A 24,884-nucleotide genomic window follows, 5' to 3' on the forward strand; every position below is an offset into this window, starting at 1 on the left:
TGCTAGCTTGAATGTATTTGCTCTTGCTTTTCTAGTTCTTTTAATTGTGATGTTAGGGTGTCAATTTTAGATCTTTCCTGCTTTCTGTTCTGGGCATTTACTGGTATAAATTTCCCTCTACACACTGCTTTGAATGTGTCCCAGAGATTCTGGTATGTTGTGTCTTTGTTCTCATTGGTTTCAAAGAACATCTTTATTTCTGCCTTCATTTCATTATGTACCCAGTAGTCATTCAGGAGCAGGTTGTTCAGTTTCCATGTAGTTGAGCAGTTTTGAGTGAGTTTCTTAATCCTCAGTTCTAGTTTGATTGCCCTGTGGTCTGAGAGACAGTTTGTTATAATTTCTGTTCTTTCACATTTGCTGAGGAGTGCTTTACTTCCAACTATGTGGTCGATTTTGGAATAAGTGGGATGTGGTGCTGAGAAGAATGTATATTCTGTTGATTTGGGGTGGAGAGTTGTGTAGATGTCTATTAGGTCTGCTTGGTGCAGAGCTGAGTTCAATTCCTGGATATCTTTGCTAACTTTCTGTCTCATTGATCTGTCTAATGTTGACAGTGGGGTGTTAAAGTCTCCCATTATTATTACGTGGGAGTGTAAGTCTCTTTGTAGGTCTCTAAGGACTTGCTTTGTGAATCTGGGTGCTCCTGTATTGGGTGCATATATATTTAGGATAGTTAGCTGTTCTTGTTGAATTGATCCCTTTACCATTATGTAATGGCCATCTTTGTCTCTTTTGATCTTTGTTGGTTTAAAGTCTGTTTTATCAGAGACTAGGATTGCAACCCCTGCCTTTTTTTGTTTTCCATTTGCTTGGTAGATCTTCCTTTTATTTGAGCCTATGTGTGTCTCTGCACGTGAGATGGGTTTCCTGAATACAGCACGGTGATGGGTCTTGACTCTTTATCCAATTTGCCAGTCTGTGTCTTTTAATTGGAGCATTTAGCCCATTTACATTTAAGGTTAATATTGTTATGTGTGAATTTGATCCTGTCATTATGATGTTAGCTGGTTATTTTGCTCGTTAATTGATGCAGTTTCTTCCTAGCATCGATGATCTTTACACTTTGGCCTGTTTTTGCAGTGGCTGGTACTGGTTGTTCCTTTCCATGTTTAGTGCTTCCTTCAGGAGCTCTTTTAGGGCAGGCCTGGTGGTGACAAAATCTCTCAGCATTTGCTTGTCTGTAAAGGATTTTATTTCTCCCTCACTTATGAAGCTCAGTTTGGCTGGATATGAAATTCTGGGTTGAAAATTCTTTTAAGAATGTTGAATATTGGCCCCCGCTCTCTTCTGGCTTGTAGAGTTTCTGCCGAGAGATCAGCTGTTAGTCTGATGGGCTTCCCTTTGTGGGTAACCTGACCTTTCTCTCTGGCTGCCCTTAACATTTTTTCCATCATTTCAACTTTGGTGAATCTGACAATTATGTGTCTTGGAGTTGCTCTTCTCGAGGAGTATCTTTGTAGCATTCTCTGTATTTCCTGCATTTGAATGTTGGCCTGTCTTGCTAGGTTGGGGAAGTTCTCCTGGATAATATCCTGCAGCGTGTTTTCCAACTTGGTTCCATTCTCCCTGTCACTTTCAGGTACACCAATCAGATGTAGATTTGGTCTTTTCACATAGTCCCATATTTCTTGGAGGCTTTGTTCATTTCTTTTTATTGTTTTTTCTCTAAACTTCTCTTCTCGCCTCATTTCATTCATTTGATCTTCCATCACTGATACCCTTCCTTCCACTTGATCGAATCGGCTAAGGACTTCTCTGCATTGGTTATTCTAGTTAGCCATTTGTCTAATCTTTTTTCTATGTTTTTAACTTCTTTGCCATAGGTTCAAACTTCTCCTTTAGCTTGGAGAAGTTTGATCATCTGAAGCCTTCTTCTCTCAGGTCGTCAAAGTCATTCTCCGTCCAGCTTTGTTCCATTGCTGATGAGGAGCTGCATTCCTTTGGAGGAGGAGAGGTGCTCTGATTTTTAGAATTTCAGTTTTTCAGCCCTGTTTTTTCCCCATCTTTGTGGTTTTATCTACCTTTGGTCTCTGATGATGGTGAGGTACAGATGGGGTTTTGGTGTGGATGTCCTTTCTGTTTGTTAGTTTTCCTTCTAACAGTCAGGACCCTCAGCTGCAGGTCTGTTGGAGTTTGCTAGAGGTCCACTCCGACCCTGTTTGCCTGGGTATCAGCAGCAGAGGCTGCAGAACAGCAGATATTGGTGAGCAGCAAATGTTGCTGTTTGATTGTTCCTCTGGAAGTTTTATCTCAGAGGGGTACCCGGCCGTGTGAGGTGTCAGTCTGCCCCTACTGGGGGGTACCTCACAGGCTACTCAGAGGTCAGGGACCCACTTTAGGAGGCAGTCCGTCCATTCTCAGATCTCAAGCTGCATGCTGGGGGAGCCACTACTCTCTTCCAAGCTGTCAGACAGGGACATTTAAGTCTGTAGAGGTTTCTGCTGCCTTTCGTTTGTCTATGCCCTGCCCCCAGAGATGGAGTCTACAGAGGCAGGCAGACCTCCTTGAGCTGCGGTAGGCTCCACCCAGTTCGAGCTTCCCGGAGGCTTTGTTTACCTATTCAAGCCTCGGCAATGGCGGTCAACCCTCCCCCCACTTCGCTGCTGCCTTGCAGTTTGATTGCAGACTGCTGTGCTAGCAATGAGCGAGTCTCCGTGGGCATAGGACCCTCCGAGCCAGGCACAGGATACAATCTCCTGTTGTGCCGTTTGCTAAGACCATTGGAAAAGGGCAGTATTAGGGTAGGAGTGACCTGATTTTCCAGATGCCATCTGTCACCCCTTTCCTTGGGTAGGAAAGGGAATTCCCTGACCCCTTGTGCTTCCCGGGTGAAGCAATGCCTCGCCCTGCTTCAGCTCACGCTCAGTGTGCTGCACCCACTGTCCTGCACCCACTGTCCGACAGTCCCCAGTGAGATGAACCTGGTACCTCATTTGGAAATGCAGAAATCATTCGTCTTCTGTGTCACTCACGCTGGGAGCTGTAGACTGGAGCTGTTCCTATTCAGCCATCTTGGCTCCACCCCCTAATTTTTACTCTTAAGTAAGGATTATTTTGGACTGAGGGACTCACTAAGTGAAAGTGATTCATCATTTCAGACTTTGTTACAGGGAGGTGATTATGCAGTAAACATAGTCAAACATTTCAAAAATTTGAAGCATATTTTATAAAACTTACAAGAAAGAAAGATACATACTGGATGAATTGAAGGAAGAATTCATAAAACCATATGTGTCTGCTTCATATTGAGGGAAACTTTTTTTTTCTTTTTTTAACCTCTCAGCACTAGTTGACATTGCTTGGCTACGTACTCCGTTAGAGTAGAGACAGCTATTGCCATAGCTCCTGTGAATTGAAACAGAAATTGTCCATAGTGGAGGCAGTCACAGATGGGTTAAACATGAAGGAGTCAGAAGTGGTAGAACTAATTCTAAATACTGAGATTCCATACTGAGAGGTACCAAAGCTACCCAACAAACTCTTTTCCTCTTGGGAAACACATATACACCTGACATAAAAATAAGGTAGACATTTAGTTTGTAGCTGTAGATCTCAATAGCATTGTGTAATTTTTCCTGTTACTTTTCAAGACCAACACATATCACAGTATAGGGAGGTCAGAGACTCCTGAGGGCAGCTCTACAATTCTGAAGCAGTACATTTCTTTTATATTTTTGTAGGTAATGATTTGTTGTAAGTTATCCATAGTTGTAAGTAACCGGATCATATGTTTTCCTTGATATTATGGAGAATTTGACAGGTTGGAGAAATACAAGGTATGATTTCATGATTAAACATAACAGGAAATTTAAATGGGACTTTACATATGATCTCAATTTAGCTAAGAACTCAAGACCAAGCTATACAGACACCAAATTACCTCCACATTCTAAAGCAAGGGGCTAGACCACCTTATGTAGGACATGCTAAGAGATAGAGAAATCGCTTCTGCCAGCATTAGCCTATCTCCTGTCTCTCATCTATATAAGGTGAGGCAAAGAATTCATGGGGAAGGGTGGAAGTATTTGGAAGTGAAGATTTCTTTGGAGATAGTTGTCAGTATGCTGTGTTTGCCCTTCCCATCTCCACAGTGAGGGTGGTGAAAGTACTTCCCCTTCATCTGAAGCCAAGAGAAGAAAACTGCTCAGAAAGCTTGAAATGTTTTCTCTGGAATCTAGAAAATTCAAGTTCTGGTATGTGAAAGAAAAAAAAAATTAAGGCAAGAAGCTGCTGTCTTACTCTACTTTCTGCTGGTATAACAGAATACCTGAGATAACAGCATTAATTCATTCATGAGAGCAGAGCCCTCATCCTCTAATCACCTTTTATTTTTATTTTTTTGAGACAGCATCTCGCTCTGTCACACAGTCTGGAGTGCTGTGGTGATTGTAGCTCACTGCAGCCTAGAACTCCTGGGCTCAAGTGATCCTCCTGCCTTAGACTTCTGAGTAGCTGGGACTACAGGCGTGTGCCACCCTGCCCTGCTTCTAATAACCTCTTAAAGATTCCTCCTCTTAACACTATCACAATGGCAATTAAATTTCCCCATAGTTTTGGAGGGAACATTCAAATAGTAACATCTAGCTAGAACAGCCTGTCTGTTGGCAGAATGAAGTAGAACAGTTTAGTGGGAACAAGGATACAAGTGTATTTTTCATGGACCAAATACAGACTCTGGAAAGGATACGGTTGTGGATCATCGGGAAAAGAACTTCACGAAAGAGATAGATGCACAGATGGATAGTGAAGGTCACCCTGGTGAAAGCCAAGGACTGAATGCAGGTCTTAAATGGCCAGTTGTGGAAAGAATCATCCTTATAAAAGAATTGAGATAGGAGATCTCTAATAGAGGAGGAGTTCTCTAATAGAGGAGGAGTTCTTTGTGAAACCCACAGAAATCCCCCAACTCAAAAAAAAAAAACCGGCCGGGCGCGGTGGCTCACGCCTGTAATCCCAGCACTTTGGGAGGCCGAGGCGGGTGGATCATGAGGTCAGGAGATCGAGACCATCCTGGCTAACAAGGTGAAACCCCGTCTCTACTAAAAATACAAAAAATTAGCCGGGCGCGGTGGCGGGCGCCTGTAGTCCCAGCTACTCGGGAGGCTGAGGCAGGAGAATGGCGTGAACCCGGGAAGCGGAGCTTGCAGTGAGCCGAGATCGTGCCACTGCAGTCCGCAGTCCGGCCTGGGCGACAGAGCGAGACTCCGTCTCAAAAAAAAAAAAAAAAAAAAAAAAAAAAAAAAAAAAAAGAAAAAACCAAAAAACGTAGTATCTAAAAGGTAGGGCACCAATATCAAATTGCAACTGTACTGGCCATATGCAATGTAGAGCACCAATATCAGATCGCAACTGTACTGGCCATATGCAATGTAGTCTTTTTCTCCAGGTTTCCCCTCTCTTCTAGGCTGGACAATGGAGGAGGCTTGAAACAGTAGCTGGCAAGTGGTAGAAGAGATGGAGCAGAGAAGCAAGAAGAAGCAGACTCCTCACTCCTTCACCAGGGTGGATTTGCTGGTTTGAAGCAGACCTGAGTTGGGAGAGGAGAGAGGCGAGAAGTTTTAATTGGATGAAATATTTCTTTAGACTGGTCTATACTTTTTTCTTTATATCTAAAATTCACTGGAAGAGCTATGAAATCTGTCCAAGATTTCGTTCAGTTCAGGAAAAACCAAAACCAAAACCATAACCAGTGAGTTTATAAAGGAAGTTTATGGTGGATTTTTTAAAATTATTTTGATAACTGACATTGGGGTATTCTCCATCTTATGAGTCTGAAAATATTTCTTCGCAGCCAGGTAATACACATGTGACTCAGATGCCACCAAAGAAGTATGTGTCCAAGACCTCAAGTTGAAAGCTGTGGACTGCGGAGGGACTCTCTGGTGAAGTTGTTGCAAGCATGATTAATTCATTGGGGCAGCAATGGCAGCCAAGCCAGTGGTGGTATCCTGTGTCCAGGAGTGGTATTGGTGATTCAGTTTGCAGCCTCTGAGGTACAAGGATAAGGAAAATGGTGACCAGATCAGTTTTGCTGCCTCAGATTAGACATAATTTCAAGCTGTATATCTCTAATCCTCCTAATAATTCTATGACCTACATGATATCCTTTAAATAAATGACTTATCATTTAAAATAATTCCGAATTGATTTCTGTGACTTGCAATGAAATCAATAAAAAAAAAAAAATACCTGGACTATTACTAGAAAACAGACCACCAGGGAAATGGGTCAATCTGGGATTAATTTTCTGACCTGGTTTAGGCTGAAGGCAGTGATAATTCAGATGACTCTAAGGGTGGAGCAGCTCTAGACATGCAGGAGTGGAACAGTTAATAATAAAAAAAAAACCTCTGACTTCCTGAAAGGAAATAAGAATTAAAGGCAAGGCCTTAGAGACAATAGGGTTATTGCCATGGAAGAATATTAAAGTGCATGAGCTATTTAAAGTCTGTAAGGTAGGTGGTTACTTCATTAAAGTGTTGGGCAGTTTAGTTAAGGAGAATGGTAAGCTTAAAATTTCAGGTTCTTGGCTCATGGTATAAACTGAAACCTAAGGATGTTTTATGACATAATTTCTTGAAGCCATAAGGTTAAACTAGCCAGAAGCCAAATTAAAAATTTGATCCTGTAGGTTTCCAGCTGTAACACTGATTAAATTCATAGGAACACAAAAGATCTCTTAGGTGAAAACCAGGGCATTGACTGGGAAATAATAGGATCTCAAATACTATAATGGGTATATATTGAAAGATTCAAATGTCCCTCAGATTATCCTGAACTCCCAGTCTCCACTGATCTTTCTTTGCCTACTGAAACATTTTCTTTTGCCTGTCTGATGAGGATGTCACTGCTTGATTTGAGGACATATAAGGACCTTGGCTGAGCAGCGTCCCTGTAAGGGGAAGCCAATTTCCTCATGTCCTATTCACTTCCATCTCTCATTGTCTTCAGGCCTATAATTATAGTCAGACTAAGCAGTAAGGGGGCAAGTTGGAAGGAGAAGTGTTAAATACCAAAATAATATGTATTATATTTTGCTGATGAATGCTGACCAAACTCTGACCAACTCTTGCGAAAATGAATTCTGTGGGTGCTAGGGCAAGTGGGGAAGGGCATAATTTTAGATCAGGCTAAATGGGTCATGATGGGTGCCTTTATTAGAAATTCTGTATTGATCACACTAGCTCAAAAAACATTAGAAGTTAAAATTGTTTGTTCTATTTATAGATAGAAATCCAAGCTCAAAAATGATCCATGTTCAATGAAGTTGAGATGCCAGATATTTCTTTAGATAATATAAAGGAAGGAATACAAGGACACAGAGAGAGGAATGTAGGGAGGAATTTTTCATGTGCTACGTGCTTACCTAACCCCCATACTATGTTCCTTGAGAGAAGCCCAGAAAATAAACTTTCCAACAAGGGATTGAGAAATAAATTGTCAAGGGGGAGGGCTATGGTTCATTTTTCCCTGTAGGTTGGCAGGGGATGCTTTGGTTGAGATGGGCTTCCTGATTTCAACCAGGATACCAGATACTGGGGTGGTAGAGGCTAAGTAGTGAGGCAGGAGAAGCCAGGTAGGCATGATCACTATGACAGGTAGCTGGAGTAGTTTGGAAAATAGTATTGTCTGATCTACTGCAATTTTTGGAGGTGGCAGTGGAGGTACCATATGTATCAATTAGATTGTTTTGCCTGAAAATAATAGAAATTTGAGTAAAAGAGGCTTAAAAAATGAAGATTTATTATTATTATTATTATTTTGCAGTTGCAAGATTTAATAGAGTGAAAACAGAGCTCCCATACAATGGGAGGGGACCCAAAGGGGGTTGCCCCTGAAAGGAGGTTGCCCACTCCCGGCTCGAATGCCTGGAGTTTATATCCCAATCATTGTCCCTCCCCCTGTGCCCTCAGGCGATATATGATTTGACTGTGTCTTTACCTTCTGCTCTAGCCTAATTTGTATTTTAGCGAGCCCTCTTTACTACCTGATTGGTTGGGTGTGAGCTGAGTTACAAGCCCTGTGTTTAAAGGTAGGTGCGGTCACCTTTCCCAGCTAGGCTTAGGAATTCTTAATCGGCCTAGGAAATCCAGCTAGTCCTGTCTCTCAGTCCCCCCGTCAACAGGAAAGCCCAAGTGCTGTTGGCAAGGTTGGCCGACAACCACTCTTAACTGCTTCCTGCTGAATTGGGGCATAGTAGGGGTTGTGCAGTTGAGATTTCCTTGGAAAGGGTGGCTTCGATGTCATTAACATCAGAGCATGGGCTAGCAAGCCGGTCCAGGGGTCCGTGGTAGGTCTTAGTCATGGACTGCATCTGGGGGTCCATTTGAAGAACTGTTTGCAGTTTTACAGCTTCGATTCTGGAAGAGACAAACTTAACAAGGAGGTTAAAGATACAGGGATTGAAATGTATGGCCTGAAGTGCAGGGGATTATTTCTTTGGCACACTTCACAGGCCCTGACTATCTGCTTTATAGTTTTGAAAAGGCCTGGTTCAGTAAATAATGATGTGGCAATCTGATGGGTGCTATCAATGCCTAAGTAAAAGGTTTGGTGAAGGGTTTTAAGTAATTTCCATTGGTTAGCTGCAGGCAGAAGTATTTTTCCTTTTTCGGTGGCTAGCCATCCTGAGGGGAGGAAACGATGTCGATGTCCTTGTGAGTTTCCCCATTCGATTTCTTCTGCTGAGTACTGGGGCTTGGTTTCCTGGAGGGGATTACCCCATACTAGGGGTCCTTCTATAAGCTTTTCTAATGGAGGGTCCTGTCTTGCGGCTCTTTTTGCTTCAGTATCTGCTTGGCAGTTCCCTTCTATTTCCCTTTCCTTTCCTTTCTGATGACCCCGGCAGTGTAAGACTGCCACCTCTTTAGGTTTCTGTACTGCCAATAATAATCTCCTAATGGCTTCCTGATGTTTGATAGGTGTTCCCTTGGAAGTTAGGAATTCCCTTTCTCTCCTTATTGCTGCGTGGGCATGGAGGACTAGGTAAGCATACTTAGAGTCTGTATATATATTTACCCTTTTTCCTTCTCCTAATTCTAGGGTATAATGACCCCTGCTTTTGCTAGGATGTCTCTCCCTAACAAAGAAGTGGAGCTTTCAGGCATAATTAGAAAGGCATGTGAAAAGAGTAAAGTTCCCCAGTCACAACTTAGTGGCTGGGAGAAGTATCTAGTGACTGGCTGTCCTAGGACCCCTCAGATAGTGACAGATCTGGAGGACAGTTGTCCAGGACAGGAGAGTAAGACTGAGAAGTTCACGCCAGTGTCCAGGAGACAGTTAACGCCCTGGCCCTCAATGGTCAAGCATACCCGGGCCTCTGTGAGGGTGATGGCATGGGCTGGCACTTGCCCTGGAAACCCTCAGTCCTGCTGCTGGATCATCTGGTTAGTGGCTTCTGACTCAGAGGACCTTCATCCCCTGGGGCAGTGGGCCTTCCAGTGATTCCCTTGACATAAGGGGCATGGACGAGGGGGTGGCTTATTTCTATTCGGACAATCTTTTTGAAAGTGTCCTTGTAGACCGCACTGGAAGCAAGCCCTATTAGGCATTCAGTTTGCCCAGGCTTTCCCTTTTTCAGAGCCTCCAAAGTCTACTTGCCTGAGGGCCACGACTAAAGCAGTGGGTGGCCTTTTTTGTTTTATCCCAGTTTTCCCATTTCACCTGCTTTTCCTGATCTCTATTATAAAAAAATCGAGGTTGCCAATAGGGTTTCTAAGTTTTGCTCCAGGCCTAAGGCAGACTTTTGAAATTTTTTCTAATGTGTGCAACTGACTGAGTGATAACTTATCCTTTAAGATTAGTTGGCCTTCAGTAGAGTCAGGTGACGGAGAGATATGCTTCCTCAATGCCTCCCTTAGTCTCTCCAGAAAAGCAGTAAGATTTTCTTCCTTTCCCTGTGTTATAGTGGACATCATTGAATGATTTATAGGCTCCTTCCTAGTTTTCCTTAGTCCTTCTAGCATGCAAGTTAGCAAATGTCTGTGGCACCAATTTCCATGTTCTAATTCAGCGTCCCAGTGAGAGTCTACACTGGGAACTGCCTCCTGGCCTGTGGGGAATCATTCCCTTTCCTCTGTTGTCATCCTATCATTGACCTGACTGAGATACCAGAGATTGCCAAACTCTTGGGCTGCAGTTATGGTGGCACTTCTCTCATTTGGGGTTAGTGTCTGATCTAGCAGTAACATTATATCTCTCCATGACAGATCAAAGGATTGTCCTAACCCTTGTAAAACATCAATGTAGCCATCAGGGTTATCTGAGAATTTACCTAGGTCTATTTTAATTTGTTTCAAGTCTGAGAGGGAAAGAGTTACGTGCACTCTGACTGGGCCAAATTCTCCAGAATATATCTTAGGAGCTTTTTTGCCTTGGGGGGAACATTTCCCATCTGAAAAAAGAACATAGGGATGCCAGCACCCCTAGTCATTTTCTGATGAGCCTTAGTCCTACAGCGTCCTCTATGGTCCTAATGCTTATTCCTTTCCAGGGTGCATAACCACCCATGGACATCTGCTTATCGGATTAGTTAACATTCACTGATGTAGCAGTCCTGCACCCCTTTTCCCGCCTTTCTTGACCACAAAGAAAGGGGTCCAGGCTGCTGGATTCTAGTGGTCCTTTACCAGTGTGCCCAACATTGCCTTTGTGCTCAGGGGTGAGTCCTAGAGCTAGGCTGGGTTCCTGAGTATTTCATAACAACCCAGTTGCCCCATCAAGATGCATTCCCATAAACAACAGTTCTTATGCAAATTCATTTCAGAGAGGGTGTAGGTAACCTTTGAGTCAGGATTGAGATGGAGTTTTTTGATTCTGTAAGTACTTTAAGGCTTGGCTGAGTGCAAAGGGCTCATACGTTTGAGCAGACCAATTATTAGGCAATTTTTCTAACTCTGCTTCTACAAGAGTTTCCCTATCAATTACTGAATACCCATTGTGGTTTTTTTTCTCCATCACCTGGGAGGAACCATCTATTGTCCTGTTCTGAAGGGAGTTCCTCCTAGGTCTGGTGGGACCTTCGTATGGTAATTAAGATTTAAATCCCTTTTTAGGAAATCTGCTGGGTTAAGGGAAATTTCAGTGGTTAATGTTAAATCATCTTTTTCTAACAGAATAGTCCTACACTTTAAGATTTTTGAGTTAGTAAGCTACCTTTTGGCTTTGTTTTTTTTTTTTTTTTTTTGACTTAGGATAGTTCTGAACTGGTGAGGTGTGTTCACAATGAGGTTTTCTCTAAAAGTTATTTTTCTACTTTCTTCTGTTAGCAAAACAGTTGCCACTACAGATTGAATGCATTTGGGCCATCCGCAGGTTACTGGGTTAAAGATTTTTGATAGGAAGGCTACGAGTTGTTAGTGGTCTCAGTGTTTTCAGGCTACGCCCTTGTTTACACTGACAACAAGGTAGTATCGAGTGTTATAGGGTCACAGAGAAGACCTTCAATTATCAATTATAGGTTTTAAATTTACTCTGGCTTTTAAAGGAATAGGGCACACTGTTTTTTCTTTACTACTTCTGTCTTTCTCTTTCTTTCTCTCTCTGCCTCTCTTACCCACCACCCCCACCTCTCTGTCTCTCTCTGTCTCTCTCCTCTCTGTCTCTGTAGGTGGATTTTGGAAACACAGTGGAGGGTCGTTCACTTGTTGCCCCCATTTGCCGCTATAGGAATATGTGCCTCCCTTTAATTTACTCAATTCATTTTCATCTTGATATATTATGTTGTAGACCCAGTTCCAGTTGTTAAAGTACTGGGTTATCAGTTCTAAGGCCCTGGCAAGGGTGGTGGGGAACGGGTCCCACATAACTGCCCATGTCGAGAGCTGCATGCCTAAATTGGGAGGAACACCAGGGATAAAACTCCCTGGATTCATAGCCTAGGTGCCCAAGGACACAGCGTAGAGCTTCCTTAGATCCCTTTAGAGATACAACTTGCTCTAATACTTGGGAGAGGAAGTGAAAGTCTGAAGCATTAGTATCTAGGAGGCAGGGATCAGAGGAAGTAGATTCAGAAGTAAGAAGAATTTTGGGGCTACACTTTCAAGAAAGTTGTGGTTGGGACCCAGGAGGTATGGGTCAGAAGGAGAGGTAGGGGCACACGCATGGGCGACTGTTGAGTAGAGACTTCTGGCTGCACCATAATCTCGACCATCCAATGCTGGGGGTTTGGGACAACAGCTTTCTGCCTCTAGTCAACCCTCAGCTTCCCCAGGAAAATTGTGAAAGCAAAAGCTGGTTCTAGGTAGACCAATGCTCCCAACCCAGAAGGGTTGGGGCTTGTTAGAAAGCCTTTTCCCAGGAAGCCTCACACCTGAGTCTTAAGTCCAGTGGCCATGCTAATTGTTTTTAACTGGCTGACAGGTGCCTGGTATTTTCCTCCAATTCTAAGGAAGGATAGGACAGAATGGCGAGCAAATTATTACTCACCGCTTTGAAGAATCCCCGTACGGGCCACCGAATATTACGGGTGGATCTTTGTTCATAGAACTCCCAAGATGGTGGTGGGCCACTCCCAAGATGGTGGTGAGCCACTCCCAAGATGGCAGCAAACCTTTTGTTCTCTGACCTGGGGTTCTTGGCCTCATGGATTCCAAGGAATGGAACCTTGGGCCATGCGGTGAGTGTTATAACTCTATTAGAAGCCGTGGGTCACGGAAGAGAACCGTGGAACCCAGCGACTAGTGTTCAGCTCTATTAGGACGAACCTGGGCACTTAGCTGCGCAGGAACAATGGCGAGACTTTAGCCTGATTGGGAGTGGCAATGGATGCCTCACTGGATCAGGGGCACAGCGGACACCCTGCTGGATCTGGAGTGGTGGAAGTCAACAGCGGGTCTGTGATGGCAGCAAACAGTGGTGGACGGCAAGTGAAAGCTCAGCTCGAGCCATAACAAATACGAACCAGAAGAGTGTGCAGTTGCAAGATTTAATAGAGTGAAAACAGAGCTCCCATACAATGGGAGGGGACCCAAAGGGGGTTGTCCCCCCAAAAATGAAGATTTATTATCTCACACAACCAAAAGTCTAGAGGATGTTGATAAATTCTCCTTTTCAGTGATGCCAGGGCCCTAGATTGCTTCTCTGCCATTTTCTTGTCTTTCCCATCATGGTTGCAAGACAGCTGCTGCAACTCTGGCCTGTCATGTTTTTACATGACAGCATCCAAGGGCAGGAAGGGAAGAGTCTTCTTTTCACCCTTCCCTACTCCTTCCCCTGCTTTTTTTTAATAAAGAGGGAAATGGCTCCCAAAAGTCCTCCAGCAGACTTCCTTTTATGTCTCATTCACCAGAACTGAGTCACATGTTCATTCCAAATCAGTCACTACCAATGGGAATAGAATTAGACTAATCATGGATCATCTCCTGGAGCACTGGGAGAGTCCCATCTTCCCTGAGCTCATTATTGCCTGTTTCTTGAACAGAATTGGGGTTCTCTTTCTAAGGGAGAAATGAGGAATGGCTGATGAATAGGCAATCAGTGTAGGGAGCCTCCTTTTGGGGGAGTTCTCACCTATTTATAATGTAACTTAAAAGACTTCCAGCTTTGAGCAGAGCTTAGAGCAGAAGAAGTCTCTTTAGCTGGCCTAAATTGTCACAAGAACAACTCTGATGCCTTCCTTTTATGGAATAAATGGTTTTCTTTTCTTTTCTTTTTTCTTTTTTTTTTTTTTTTGCAACGAAGTTTTGCTCTTGTTGCCCAAGCTGGAGTGCAATGGCACTACCTCAGCTCAGCTCACCACAACCTCTGCCTCCCGGGTTCAAGCGATTCTCCTGCCTCAGCCTCCCGAGTAGCTGAGATTATAGGCATGCGCCACCATGCCTGGCTAATTTTGTATTTTTAGTAGAGACGAGGTTTCTCCATGTTGGTTAGGCTGGTCTTGAACTCCTGACCTCAGGTGATCTGCCTGCCTCGGTCTCCCAAATTGCTGGGGTTACAGGTGTGAGCCACCGTGCCCGGCGGGAATGAATGGTTTTTAAGTGTCTGTGGCAGGTGTTGAATGTAACCTGTGGGAAGGTCCAATAATAGAAGCATGATGGAGAACCTCGAGTTTTAGAGCAAAGTAATGCTTGTTTCAGTCCTGTTGTGATTAAATGCCTGGCTATGAGACACACTAGGTGATTGTGCTACCTGAGTTTCTCACTGTGAACTGGGTATTACCTGATCCACAGAATTATAAGGCTGGACATGCCCAGGAGAATACTATTATCAAGTGGAAGTGATATATCTGTGCTATCTGAGTGGGCTCTCTCTCTCTCTCTCTCTCTGTGTATATTTGTATATATACGTATATATATATACACATATATATGTATATATATACCTATGTATATATACGTATATATACATAGGTATATATGTGTATATATACACATGTATATATGTATATATACGTATATATATACATAGGTATATATGTATATATATGTATATATATACACTACACACACACACACACACACACACACACACACACACACACACACACATATATATATAAACTGGATCCCAGCAGGTCCCAAAGGTGCTGGGAGAGGAAGTGAAGGAAGAGTTAACTCACACTCTTCCTTCACTTCCTCTCCTTGGGGGAATTTCCTATAAGCAGTTCAAAGAGCAGGAAGAGAATTATAGCTTGGTTTAGAAATGCTCTGCACAATATCCTGGTAGTTGATAGTGGCAGACTTGGAAAAATCTTGCTGGGGTATAGAACTTCAAGCATTATATTTCTGTGAGCCCTCTTGGACAGGAATGAAATCACCTGAAGTAAAGATCTACATTGACTTATGGGTAGTAATTTATGATTTGGTCAGATGATCAGGGACTTTGAAGGAATATGATTGTAAGATTGGTAACAAGGAAATCTGGAGTAGCGGTGTGATGGACCTTTTGTAATGGTCACTGAGTGAGGAAAATTATGTTCCATGTGCTTCTCACCAAAAGGTCTGATTTTGAAGGACATTGTCAATAATTAGGTGAACAAGATGACCACCTTGGGGATGTTGTTGAGCAGGGCATCCAACTGCTTGCTCAGTGGGCTTGTAAACGTAGTGGCCGTGGATATAAGCATGGACCCAACATCATAGATACTTTCTTGTCAAGGCTGTTCTAGCTCAGCCACTGCTGAATACCAGATTGAGAAGTAGCACCACCAACCCTGGGTCCCCAGTATGGTATAATAACTCAAGGGGAGTAGACAGTTTCTATGGGACAGGTTGGTCACATTTGATCTCTTTCATCATGGAGGAGGCAGAAATTTGTTCTCACTGGGACCAACACTTACTCTGGATATAGAATTGTTTTCTGGCTCTGTCATGCTTCTACTTCTACTATCATCCATGAATTTATTAATATAAATTAAACATAGACTCAGACTCTGAGATTTAAAAAATTAAGGCATAAGCTTTAAATTACTCCATTATGCATGTAGGGGGAAAGGAAAATGCTAATGACTTTCTTTTAACTAAGCAGAAAAACTAAAATACTGCTTAGAAATACAGAGATGTATTCCTACAACATTCTTCCCAGGTCAAAACCTTGTCAGTAAGACAATCAGAATTACAGATTCTTTTTGGAGGTTATTTTCATAGGACAAAGCAACACTTTCTAACACTTTAGAGTCTTATAAGACATTTTGGTTCAAATAACATTTACAGAGAATGGATTTCTTTTTAGTAAGGAACAGAAGGTGTTCTAGTAACAGTTATGAATATTCACACAGCTCCATATTGCTGAGAACAAATGGATATTTTTTGGAACATTCTTAATTTATTACCTAATCAAATCAGATTTTTTGAAATAGTTAATGATGCAGAATTGTATTTCTCTTTTCATAGATGCAAGGAGAAGGGACATCCTTTTTCTCAGACTTCTTTGGTTAATTATAAAGATTTATTTTTAAGGCCAGCTTCTGAAATTTTATTAGCTATATTATAAGCAGGTCTATAGAAGATAATTTTATTGTCAGAAATGGAGAAAGTGATAAAAAGTTATTTAATACCAAAACATAGGATGATATTGTTTTTCTTCTATATTATTAAGTACCTTGTTTACCTATAATTTCTTTCAAAAAGAACTTGAAACTTCAGAGAAGATAAATGGTCTATCCTTGGGTTTTTTATTTTATTTTATTTTATTTTGAGATGGAGTCTCACTCTGTCACCCAGGCTGGAGTGCAGTGGCGGGATCTCAGTTCACTGCAAGCTCCGCCTCCCAAGTTCACTCCATTCTCCTGCCTCAGCCTCCTGAGCAGCTGGGACTACAGGCGCCCGCCACCACACCCGGCTAATTTTTTGTATTTTTAGTAGAGACAGGTTTTCACCGTGTTAGCCAGGATGGTCTCGATCTCCTGACTTTGTGATCTGCCCACCTCCGCCTCCCAAAGTGCTGGGATTACAGGTGTGAGCCACCGTGCCTGGCCTATCCTTGGGTTTAAAGTTATAGAATAATAGTGCCTAAGAGGTATGAAAGAAAAAAATTAAAAAATAAAGTTATATAATAAGAGCAGTCTGGTTTAATAGCATTTCAGAGTGGATATATTTAGGAATTTTATAAAGCTCAATATTTGTCAACAATAGGAGATGGCTGGCAAGAGAATACATAGAGACTGCATTTACTGGCATATTTTTCCAAATAAGGATGTTATTCAGACTGTATGTAGAATATTGAGTTTAAGTTATACTTAGAGACATTTAATTAGGAATAAAGAGGACTTGGTGGTAGTGGGAAGAGTAGGGGAGAGGCATGCCAATTGTCTTCAACTCTCCGAGGGACTAGGCTTACTCTGTGATACTCCAGAGAGCAGAACTAGGAAGGCAGAGCTTAGATTTAGCCATAAGGAAGAAATTGGCCTGTGTATGTGTTAAGCCCAAGGTTAGCTGACCTGCCAGACATATTTTAAAAAGTGATTTCTTTATTGCATTTGGAGTTGGAAACCATCCATGTTTCTTCACCCAACTTTTTACTTTGAAAAATTTCAAGATTTCAAAATCTGAAAAATAGTACAATAAACATCTCTATGTCCTTCACCTAGGTGTACCAATATTTTTTGCCACACTTACTTTCTCTCTCTCTCTCTCTCTCTCACACACACACACACACACACATATTTTTTTGCATCAATGTTCATCAAGGATATTGGTCTAAAATTCTCTTTTTTTTTGTTTGTGTCTCTGCCAGGCTTTGGTATCAGGATGATGCTGGCCTCATAAAATGAGTTAGGGAGGATTCCCTCTTTTTCTATTGATTGGAATAGTTTCAGAAGGAATGGTACCAGTTCCTTCTTGTACCTCTCGTAGAATTCGGCTGTGAATCCATCTGGTCCTGGACTCTTTTTGGTTGGTAAGCTATTGATTATTGCCACAATTTCAGATCCTGTTATTGGTCTATTCAGAGAGTCAACTTCTTCCTGGTTTAGTCTTGGGAGGGTGTATGTGTCGAGGAATTTATCCATTTCTTCTAGATTTTCTAGTTTATTTGCGTAGAGGTGTTTGTAGTATTCTCTGATGGTCGTTTGTATTTCTGTGGGATTGGTGGTGATATCCCCTTTATCATTTTTTAGTGCGTCTATTTGATTCTTCTCTCTTTTCTTCTTTATTAGTCTTGCTAGTGGTCTATCAATTTTGTTGATCTTTTCAAAAAACCAGCTCCTGGATTCATTAATTTTTTGAAGGGTTTTTTGTGTCTCTATTTCCTTCAGTTCTGCTCTGATTTTTGTTATTTCTTGCCTTCTGCTAGCTTTTGAATGTGTTTGCTCTTGCTTTTCTAGTTCTTTTAAATGTGATGTTAGGGTGTCAATTTTGGATCTTTCCTGCTTTCTCTTGTGGGCATTTAGTGCTATAAATTTCCCTCTACACACTGCTTTGAATGTGTCCCAGAGATTCTGGTATGTTGTGTCTTTGTTCTCGTTGGTTTCAAAGAACATCTTTATTTCTGCCTTCATTTTGTTATGTACCCAGTAGTCATTCAGGAGCAGGTTGTTCAGTTTCCATGTAGTTGAGCAGTTTTGAGTGAGTTTCTTAATCCTCAGTTCTAGTTTGATTGCCCTGTGGTCTGAGAGACAGTTTGTTATAATTTGTGTTCTTTTACATTTGCTGAGGAGAGCTTTACTTCCAACTATGTGGTCAATTTTGGAATAGGTGTGGTGTGGTGCTGAGAAGAATGTATATTCTGTTGATTTGGGGTGGAGAGTTCTGTAGATGTCTATTAGGTCTGCTTGGTGCAGAGCTGAGTTCAATTCCTGAGTATCCTTGTTAACTTTCTGTCTCGTTGATCTGTCTAATGTTGACAGTGGGGTGTTAAAGTATCCCATTATTATTGTGTGGGAGTGTAAGTCTCTCTGTAGGTCTCTAAGGACTTGCTTTATGAATCTGGGTGCTCCTGTATTGGGTGCATATAGATTTAGGATAGTTAGCTGTTCTTGTTGAATTGATCCCTTTACCATTATGTAATGGCCTTCTTTGTCTCTTTTGATCTTTGTTGATTTAAAGTCTGTTTTATCAGAGACTAGGATTGCAACCCCTGCCTTTTTTTGTTTTCCATTTGCTTGGTAGATCTTCCTCCATCCTTTTATTTTGAGCCTATGTGTGTCTCTGCACGTGAGATGGGTTTCCTGAATACAGCACGGTGATGGGTCTTGACTCTTTATCCAATTTGCCAGTCTGTGTCTTTTAATTGGAGCATTTAGTCCATTTACATTTAAAGTTAATATTGTTATGTGTGAATTTGATCCTGTCATTATGATGTTAGCTGGTTTTTTTGCTCGTTAGTTGATGCAATTTCTTCCTAGCATCGATGGTCTTTACAATTTGGCATGATTTTGCAGTGGCTGGTACTGGCTGTTCCTTTCCATGTTTAGTGCTTCCTTCAGGAGCTCTTTTAGGGCAGGCCTGGTGGTGACAAAATCTCTCAGCATTTGCTTGTCCGTAAAGTATTTTATTTCTCCTTCACTTATGAAACTTAGTTTGGCTGGATATGAAATTCTGGGTTGAAAATTCTTTTCTTTAAGAATGTTGAATATTGGCCCCCACTCTCTTCTGGCTTGTAGAATTTCTGCCGAGAGATCCGCTGTTAGTCTGATGGGCTTCCCTTTGTGGGTAACCTGACCTTTCTCTCTGGCTGCCCTTAATATTTTTTCCTTCATTTTAACTTTGGTGAATCTGACAATTATGTGTCTTGGAGTTGCTCTTCTCGAGGAGTATCTTTGTGGCATTCTCTGTATTTCCTGAATCTGAATGTTGGCCTGCCTTGCTAGATTGGGGAAATTCTCCTGGATAATATCCTGCAGAGTGTTTTCCAACTTGGTTCCATTCTCCCCATCACTTTCAGGTACACCAATGAGACGTAGATTTGGTCTTTTCACATAGTCCCATATTTCTTGGAGGCTTTGTTCATTTCTTTTTATTCTTTTTTCTCTAAACTTCCCTTCTCACTTCATTTCATTCATTTGATCTTCCATCACTGATACCCTTTCTTCCAGTTGATCGCATCGGCTCCTGAGGCTTCTGCATTCTTCATGTAGTACTCGAGCCTTGGCTTTCAGCTCCGTTAGCTCCTTTAAGCACTTCTCTGTATTGGTTATTCTAGTTATACATTCATCTAAATTTTTTTCAATGTTTTCAACTTCTTTGCCTTTGGTTTGAATTTCCTCCTGTAGCTCAGAGTGGTTTGATCGTCTGAAGCCTTCTTCTCTCAATTCACCGAAGTCATTCTCCATCTAGCTTTGTTCTGTTGCTGGTAAGGAGCTGTGTTCCTTTGGAGGAGGAGAGGTGCTCTGCTTTTTAGAGTTTCCAGTTTTTCTGCTCTGTTTTTTCCCCATGTTTGTGGTTTTATCTACTTTTGGTCTTTGATGATGGTGATGTACAGATGAGTTTTTGGTGTGGATGTCCTTTCTGTTTGTTAGTTTTCCTTCTAACAGACAGGACCCTCAGCTGCAGGTCTGTTGGAATTTGCTAGAGGTCCACTCCAGACCCTGTTTGCCTGGGTGCCAGCAGCGATGGCTGCAGAACAGCGGATTTTCATGAACCGTGAATGCTGCTGTCTGATCGTTCCTCTGGAAGTTTTGTCTCAGAGGAGTACCCGGCCATGTGAGGTTTTAGTCTGCCCCTACTGGGGGGTGCCTCCCAGTTAGGCTGCTCGGGGGTCAGAGGTCAGGGACCCACTTGAGGAGGCAGTCTGCCCTTTCTCAGATCTCCAGCTGCATGCTGGGAGAACCACTGCTCTCTTCAAAGCTGTCAGACAGGGACATTTTAAGTGTGCAGAGCTTACTGCTGTCTTTTTGTTTGTCTGTTCCCTGCCCCCAGAGGTGGAGCCTACAGAGGCAGGCAGGCCTCCCTGAGCTGTGGTGGGCTCCACCCAGTTCGAGCTTCCCGGCTGCTTTGTTTACGTAAGCAATCCTGGGCAATGGCGGGCGCCCCTCCCCCAGCCTCACTGCGGCCTTGCAGTTTGATCTTAGACTGCTGTGCTAGCAATCAGCGAGACTCCGTGGGCATAGGACCCTCCAAGCCAGGTGCGGGATATAATCTCCTGGTGCGACATTTTTTAAGCCCGTCGGAAAAGCGCGTTGTTGGGGTGGGAGTGACCCGATTTTCTAGGTGCCGTCTGTCACCCCTTTCTTTGACTAGGAAAGGGAACTCCCTGACCCCTTGTGCTTCCGGAGTGAGGCAATGCCTCGCCCTGCTTCGGCTCGCGTGCGGTGCGCTGCACCCACTGTCCTGCGCCCACTGTCTGGCACTCCCTAGTGAGATGAACCCGGTACCTCATATGGAAATGCAGAAATCACTCATCTTCTGCGTCGCTCATGCTGGGAGCTGTAGACTGGAGCTGTTCCTATTCGGCCATCTTGACTCCCCGATCACACATTTTTTTTGATGAACCATTTGAAAGGAAGTTGCAAAACTCATGAAATTCACCGCTATCTTCTTCAGCAAGTATCCCCTAAGAACAAAGACATTTTCCTACTGTTCCCATTCATCCTTAAGATAATGTTCAGCTTGCAGGTGCTATGATTCTCATAAACCAGTAAGAAAAATACTGCCTGTTTTCCCTGTAATACAGGATTCATTCAGTGAAGTTCTTGCTTGCTTCACAAGGTGCATTGCTGGAGGCCTGCTCTCTGCAAGCCTCTCAAAGAATATGAAAATAGTCCTGCCCTCAAGAAGCTCTTCAGATGAAATAATATGTATGAAAATACTTAAATGTCAACTACGATATAAGTGAAAGATGCTATTTTATCTCTTTGCAAATTCTTTTTCTCAAAGAAAATAAGATTTAGCAGATGGAAAAACGTAAAAAAAAAAAACCGAAACAAAACAAAACAAAACAAAACAAAACACCAGAGGGCACTATAGTAGCATTTGTAGTAGCATTTGAAAAGCAATGTTTGAAGGCATTGTAAATATATCTTAAAACTGCATAATTTTTTCTTCTCGGAGTAATATACTGTGATTGTATTGCCTTCGAAATTCAACTACTGTGCACCGTATTAACTGGTGTTCTTAAGTGTTTGTAATAATTTCAGACCAAAAAATAAGTTTTTTTTTTACATAGACCCATGTATCTTATTATACTGAACAATATAATTTTTTTCCTGAAAGTTTAATAATCTTTAACATACTGAAGGTCCATGGCTTATATGCCTTGGACAGATTTTCAATGTTTGGTCCAGAGCATTGTGGGAGGGGGAGCGGTAATTCTAATGAAGTGTTTAGAACACGGGAAGGTAGATCTTCCATCAAACCTTTAAATTACCACTTTTGATTTTTTCCTTTGGAGGGGTCAAGTTCCATTCCAGTTTTATTTCACTGGCTTGACTCCTTTGAAATATTTTAATTTTTGTTGCCCCTACTCTTTCAAAAAGCAATATTCTTTAAGTGAAGAATGAATGAGAATACTCAGGAAAAGTGGACAACTGTCAGTAGTTTACAAACTTTTAAAAATGCCTTTGAAGCATAGTTCTTAACTGGAGGTTTTCTACATATTGCCAATGGCATCATTGATGTATGATTTTTGTTTTCTCTGGAGTATCATATAGAGATTCAGCATTCATTCCTCATTTTGAAAGAGATATATTTGAGCAACTTAGGCATTTGATGTGCATTTTGAAAAATTATACTATTGGCCAGGTGCAGTGGCTCATGCCTGTACTCCCAGCATTTTGGGAGGCCAAGGCGGGCAGATCACCTGAGGCCAGGAGTTCGAGACCAGCCTTGGCAACATGGCAGAAACCCATCTTTACTAAAAATACCAAAATTAGCTGGGGGTGGTGGCACACGGCCTGTAATTCCAGCTACTTGGGAGCCTGAGGCAGGAGAATCACTTGAGCCTGGGAAGTGGAGATTGCAGTGAGCAGAGATCGTGCCACTGCCCTCCAACTTGGGTGACAGAGACTCTGTCTTAAACAGTAACAACGACAACAAACAAAACAAAACAAAAATTATACTATACATTACTAGGAATTTCAACTGGGTGCATGGAGGAGAAAAAAAGCCTCTGTTGCTGAAGGAATGATGGAGGTGAAGCCTTAAACTCCATGCATCTCACTCTGGGGTTTCTCAGTTTTATTTTTGCTTCTGAGACAGGGTCTTGCTCTGTCGCCCAGGCTGGAGTGCAGTGGTGCAATCACAGCTCACTGCAGCCTCGATCTCCTGGGCTCAAGTGATCCTCTTTCCACCTCAGCCTCCCAAGTGGCTAAGACTACAAGCACACACTGACATGCCCAGCTATTTTTCATTTTTACTTTTATTTTTAGTAGAGACAAAGTCTTGCTATGTTCCCCAGGCTGGTCTCAAACATCAGAGCTTATGCCATTGTCCTGCCTCAGCCTCCCAAAGTGCTGGGATTACAGATGTAAGCCACTTTGCTCAGTCTCATTGATTTTATATACAATTCTAACAGCTCTGCCAAGGATAATCAGAATTTTTTTTTGAATCGCAGAACTAGGTATGAAAATTAGAAGACTGATAGAGACAGGGACATTTACTGCAGCAGTGATTGCTCAGAGGGTGGGGGGCAGTAGAGAGAGACTGAGACTACTGAATCACAATTTAGCATAAAAATTAATGATCATAATAATATGGACAAGAGACAGGGAAATACTGGATAGAAGAGGGTGGTTCCCCAGCAAAGGCCCCACCCTCAAGTCTGGAGACCCTCAGCCCTAAGTGGGAATGGGCATTTCTGTTTTTGTGCCCTGAAAGTTGCCTTTTGACCTGCTATGCCCCCCATCTGGTACCCATATGAACTCTGAACCTCAGGCTCTAGAAGCAGATGAACAGATGAGGAGATGAGGAAACAAGCAGATGAATGGCAGAATGATGTGGCAGAGAAAGAGAGAAGAGGAGGAACATCTAAACACCAAGAGGAGTTAGGCTGGGGGCGGTGGGAGAGGAGTTTGGCCTCTGGATGGCCAAACTCTAGGGGAAGAAAATCTTCCTACTCCATCCCCACTTCCAGCTCCCCATCCATCCTGCTGAGAGCCACCTTCACCACTCAATAAAACCCTGCATTCATCCTTCAAGTCTGTGTGCAACCTAATTCTTCCTGGATGCTGGGCAAGAGCTTGGGATACAGAAAGTTGTCACACTGGCCCTCTGCCCTTGCAAAAAAGCAGAGGGTCCATTGAGCTGGTTAACAGTTATGTTGTCTGTGGACAGCAAGGCTAAAAGAACCTTGTAACACTGGGGCTGCAGGCACCCACCCCTGGACACTACTGTGGGGCCGGAGCCCGAAGCACTCGCCCTGACTCCTGCACCTGCCAGTCTGCATGCTCGCATTCTTGTCAGGGGTTTGAGCAATGGTGACTGAACAGGCGAGTCACACCCCTGTTGCACATCCTGTGAGGGGGATCAGGGAACTCTCCCATTTCAATAATGACTATTCTGAGTTGTTAAGATTAGATTTGGGATTATCTAATTAGGAAAAAAAGGAAATATAGAAAATGTTTTGGAAAAATTCCATTCAAAAGGGTGAATATGAACTATTCACACACGAGGATAGAATTTTGTTATCAAGCAACGTATATTTATCGACCATCTCTGATAGAGGGATGGATTCAAAGATCGTTCTGCCTTCAGGGATTTTACAAACATGTACTTGAAAAACTAGCAATGGAAACGGCGTGTGATAGGATTTTGATTAAAAACACCGAGCATCAAAGGAGATCAGGGAGTGAGAACAGCTTTGTGGCTGCAAAGATCTGAAAAAGAGGTGGGTCTGAAATGGAATCTAGAAAGGATTCACTGAAGCAAAGGAAAGGAGGAAAGGGATGAGGAGAGAGAAAAGAACTGATATAGGGAATTGCATGAGAAAGGCCAACAACCTGTGGGGTGCATTTTAGTCCCACAATGCCAACAAAGAAAGCATTTACAGATAAAGTGTCTGGCTTCCATTTCTAATGAGAGAGAATCTTAAATAAGCAAGAATATAAGTTTCTACTTTGAGATATTAATTACTATCCTTTCAGCCAAAACTTTCAAAGATGTTTATCTTCTCTCAGAATTCAATACGTGGTAAATCATTTTAAAGAAAACTGATAGGTTTCAGAAATTGCTCCAAGATGAAAGCTAGTCTTTATTACTCTGATCTAAATTATTATGTATCTTACCTGTTTTTTTTCCTTCAACTTTTATTTTAAGTTCTGGTCCAAGGTGAAAGCTAGTCTTTATTACTCTGATCTAAATTATTATCTGATCCTTTTTTTTTTCCTTCAACTTTTAAGTTCTGGGGTACGTGTGCAGGATGTGCAGGTTTGTTACATAGGTAAACGTGTGCCATGATGGTTTGCTGCACAGATCAACACATCACTTAGGTATTAAGACCAGCATCCATTAGCTATTCTTCCTGATGCTCTCCCTCCTGCCCCCCAGACAGGCCCCAGTGTGTGTTGTTCC

General features: G+C 42.4%; 2 long non-coding RNA genes across 2 annotated transcripts in view, besides 1 other annotated feature; both read left to right on the forward strand.

Annotated features, from left to right (window-relative positions):
• LOC100507053 (uncharacterized) overlaps nt 1-24,884 on the forward strand; it is a 212,500-nt gene that overhangs the window by 8,117 nt on the left and 179,499 nt on the right. The gene's annotated exons all lie outside the window — the stretch shown is intronic.
• Nucleotides 2,385-2,679: an enhancer, noted in NCBI's record as "tiled region #12553; K562 Activating DNase matched - State 5:Enh, and HepG2 Activating non-DNase unmatched - State 24:Quies". NCBI's record gives its function as "activates a minimal TATA promoter and a strong SV40 promoter by Sharpr-MPRA in K562 cells, with weaker activation in HepG2 cells {active_cell/tissue: HepG2 | K562}" and the evidence as "EXISTENCE:reporter gene assay evidence [ECO:0000049][PMID:27701403]".
• On the forward strand, nt 5,255-6,139 carry LOC124900739 (uncharacterized). The gene is made up of 2 exons (XR_007058202.1): nt 5,255-5,692; nt 5,795-6,139. It is a non-coding gene; the product is annotated as an uncharacterized LOC124900739 (long non-coding RNA).

The sequence above is a fragment of the Homo sapiens genome, chromosome 4, assembly GCF_000001405.40.
Source record: "Homo sapiens chromosome 4, GRCh38.p14 Primary Assembly".
In the NCBI taxonomy this organism is placed as follows: domain Eukaryota; kingdom Metazoa; phylum Chordata; class Mammalia; order Primates; family Hominidae; genus Homo; species Homo sapiens.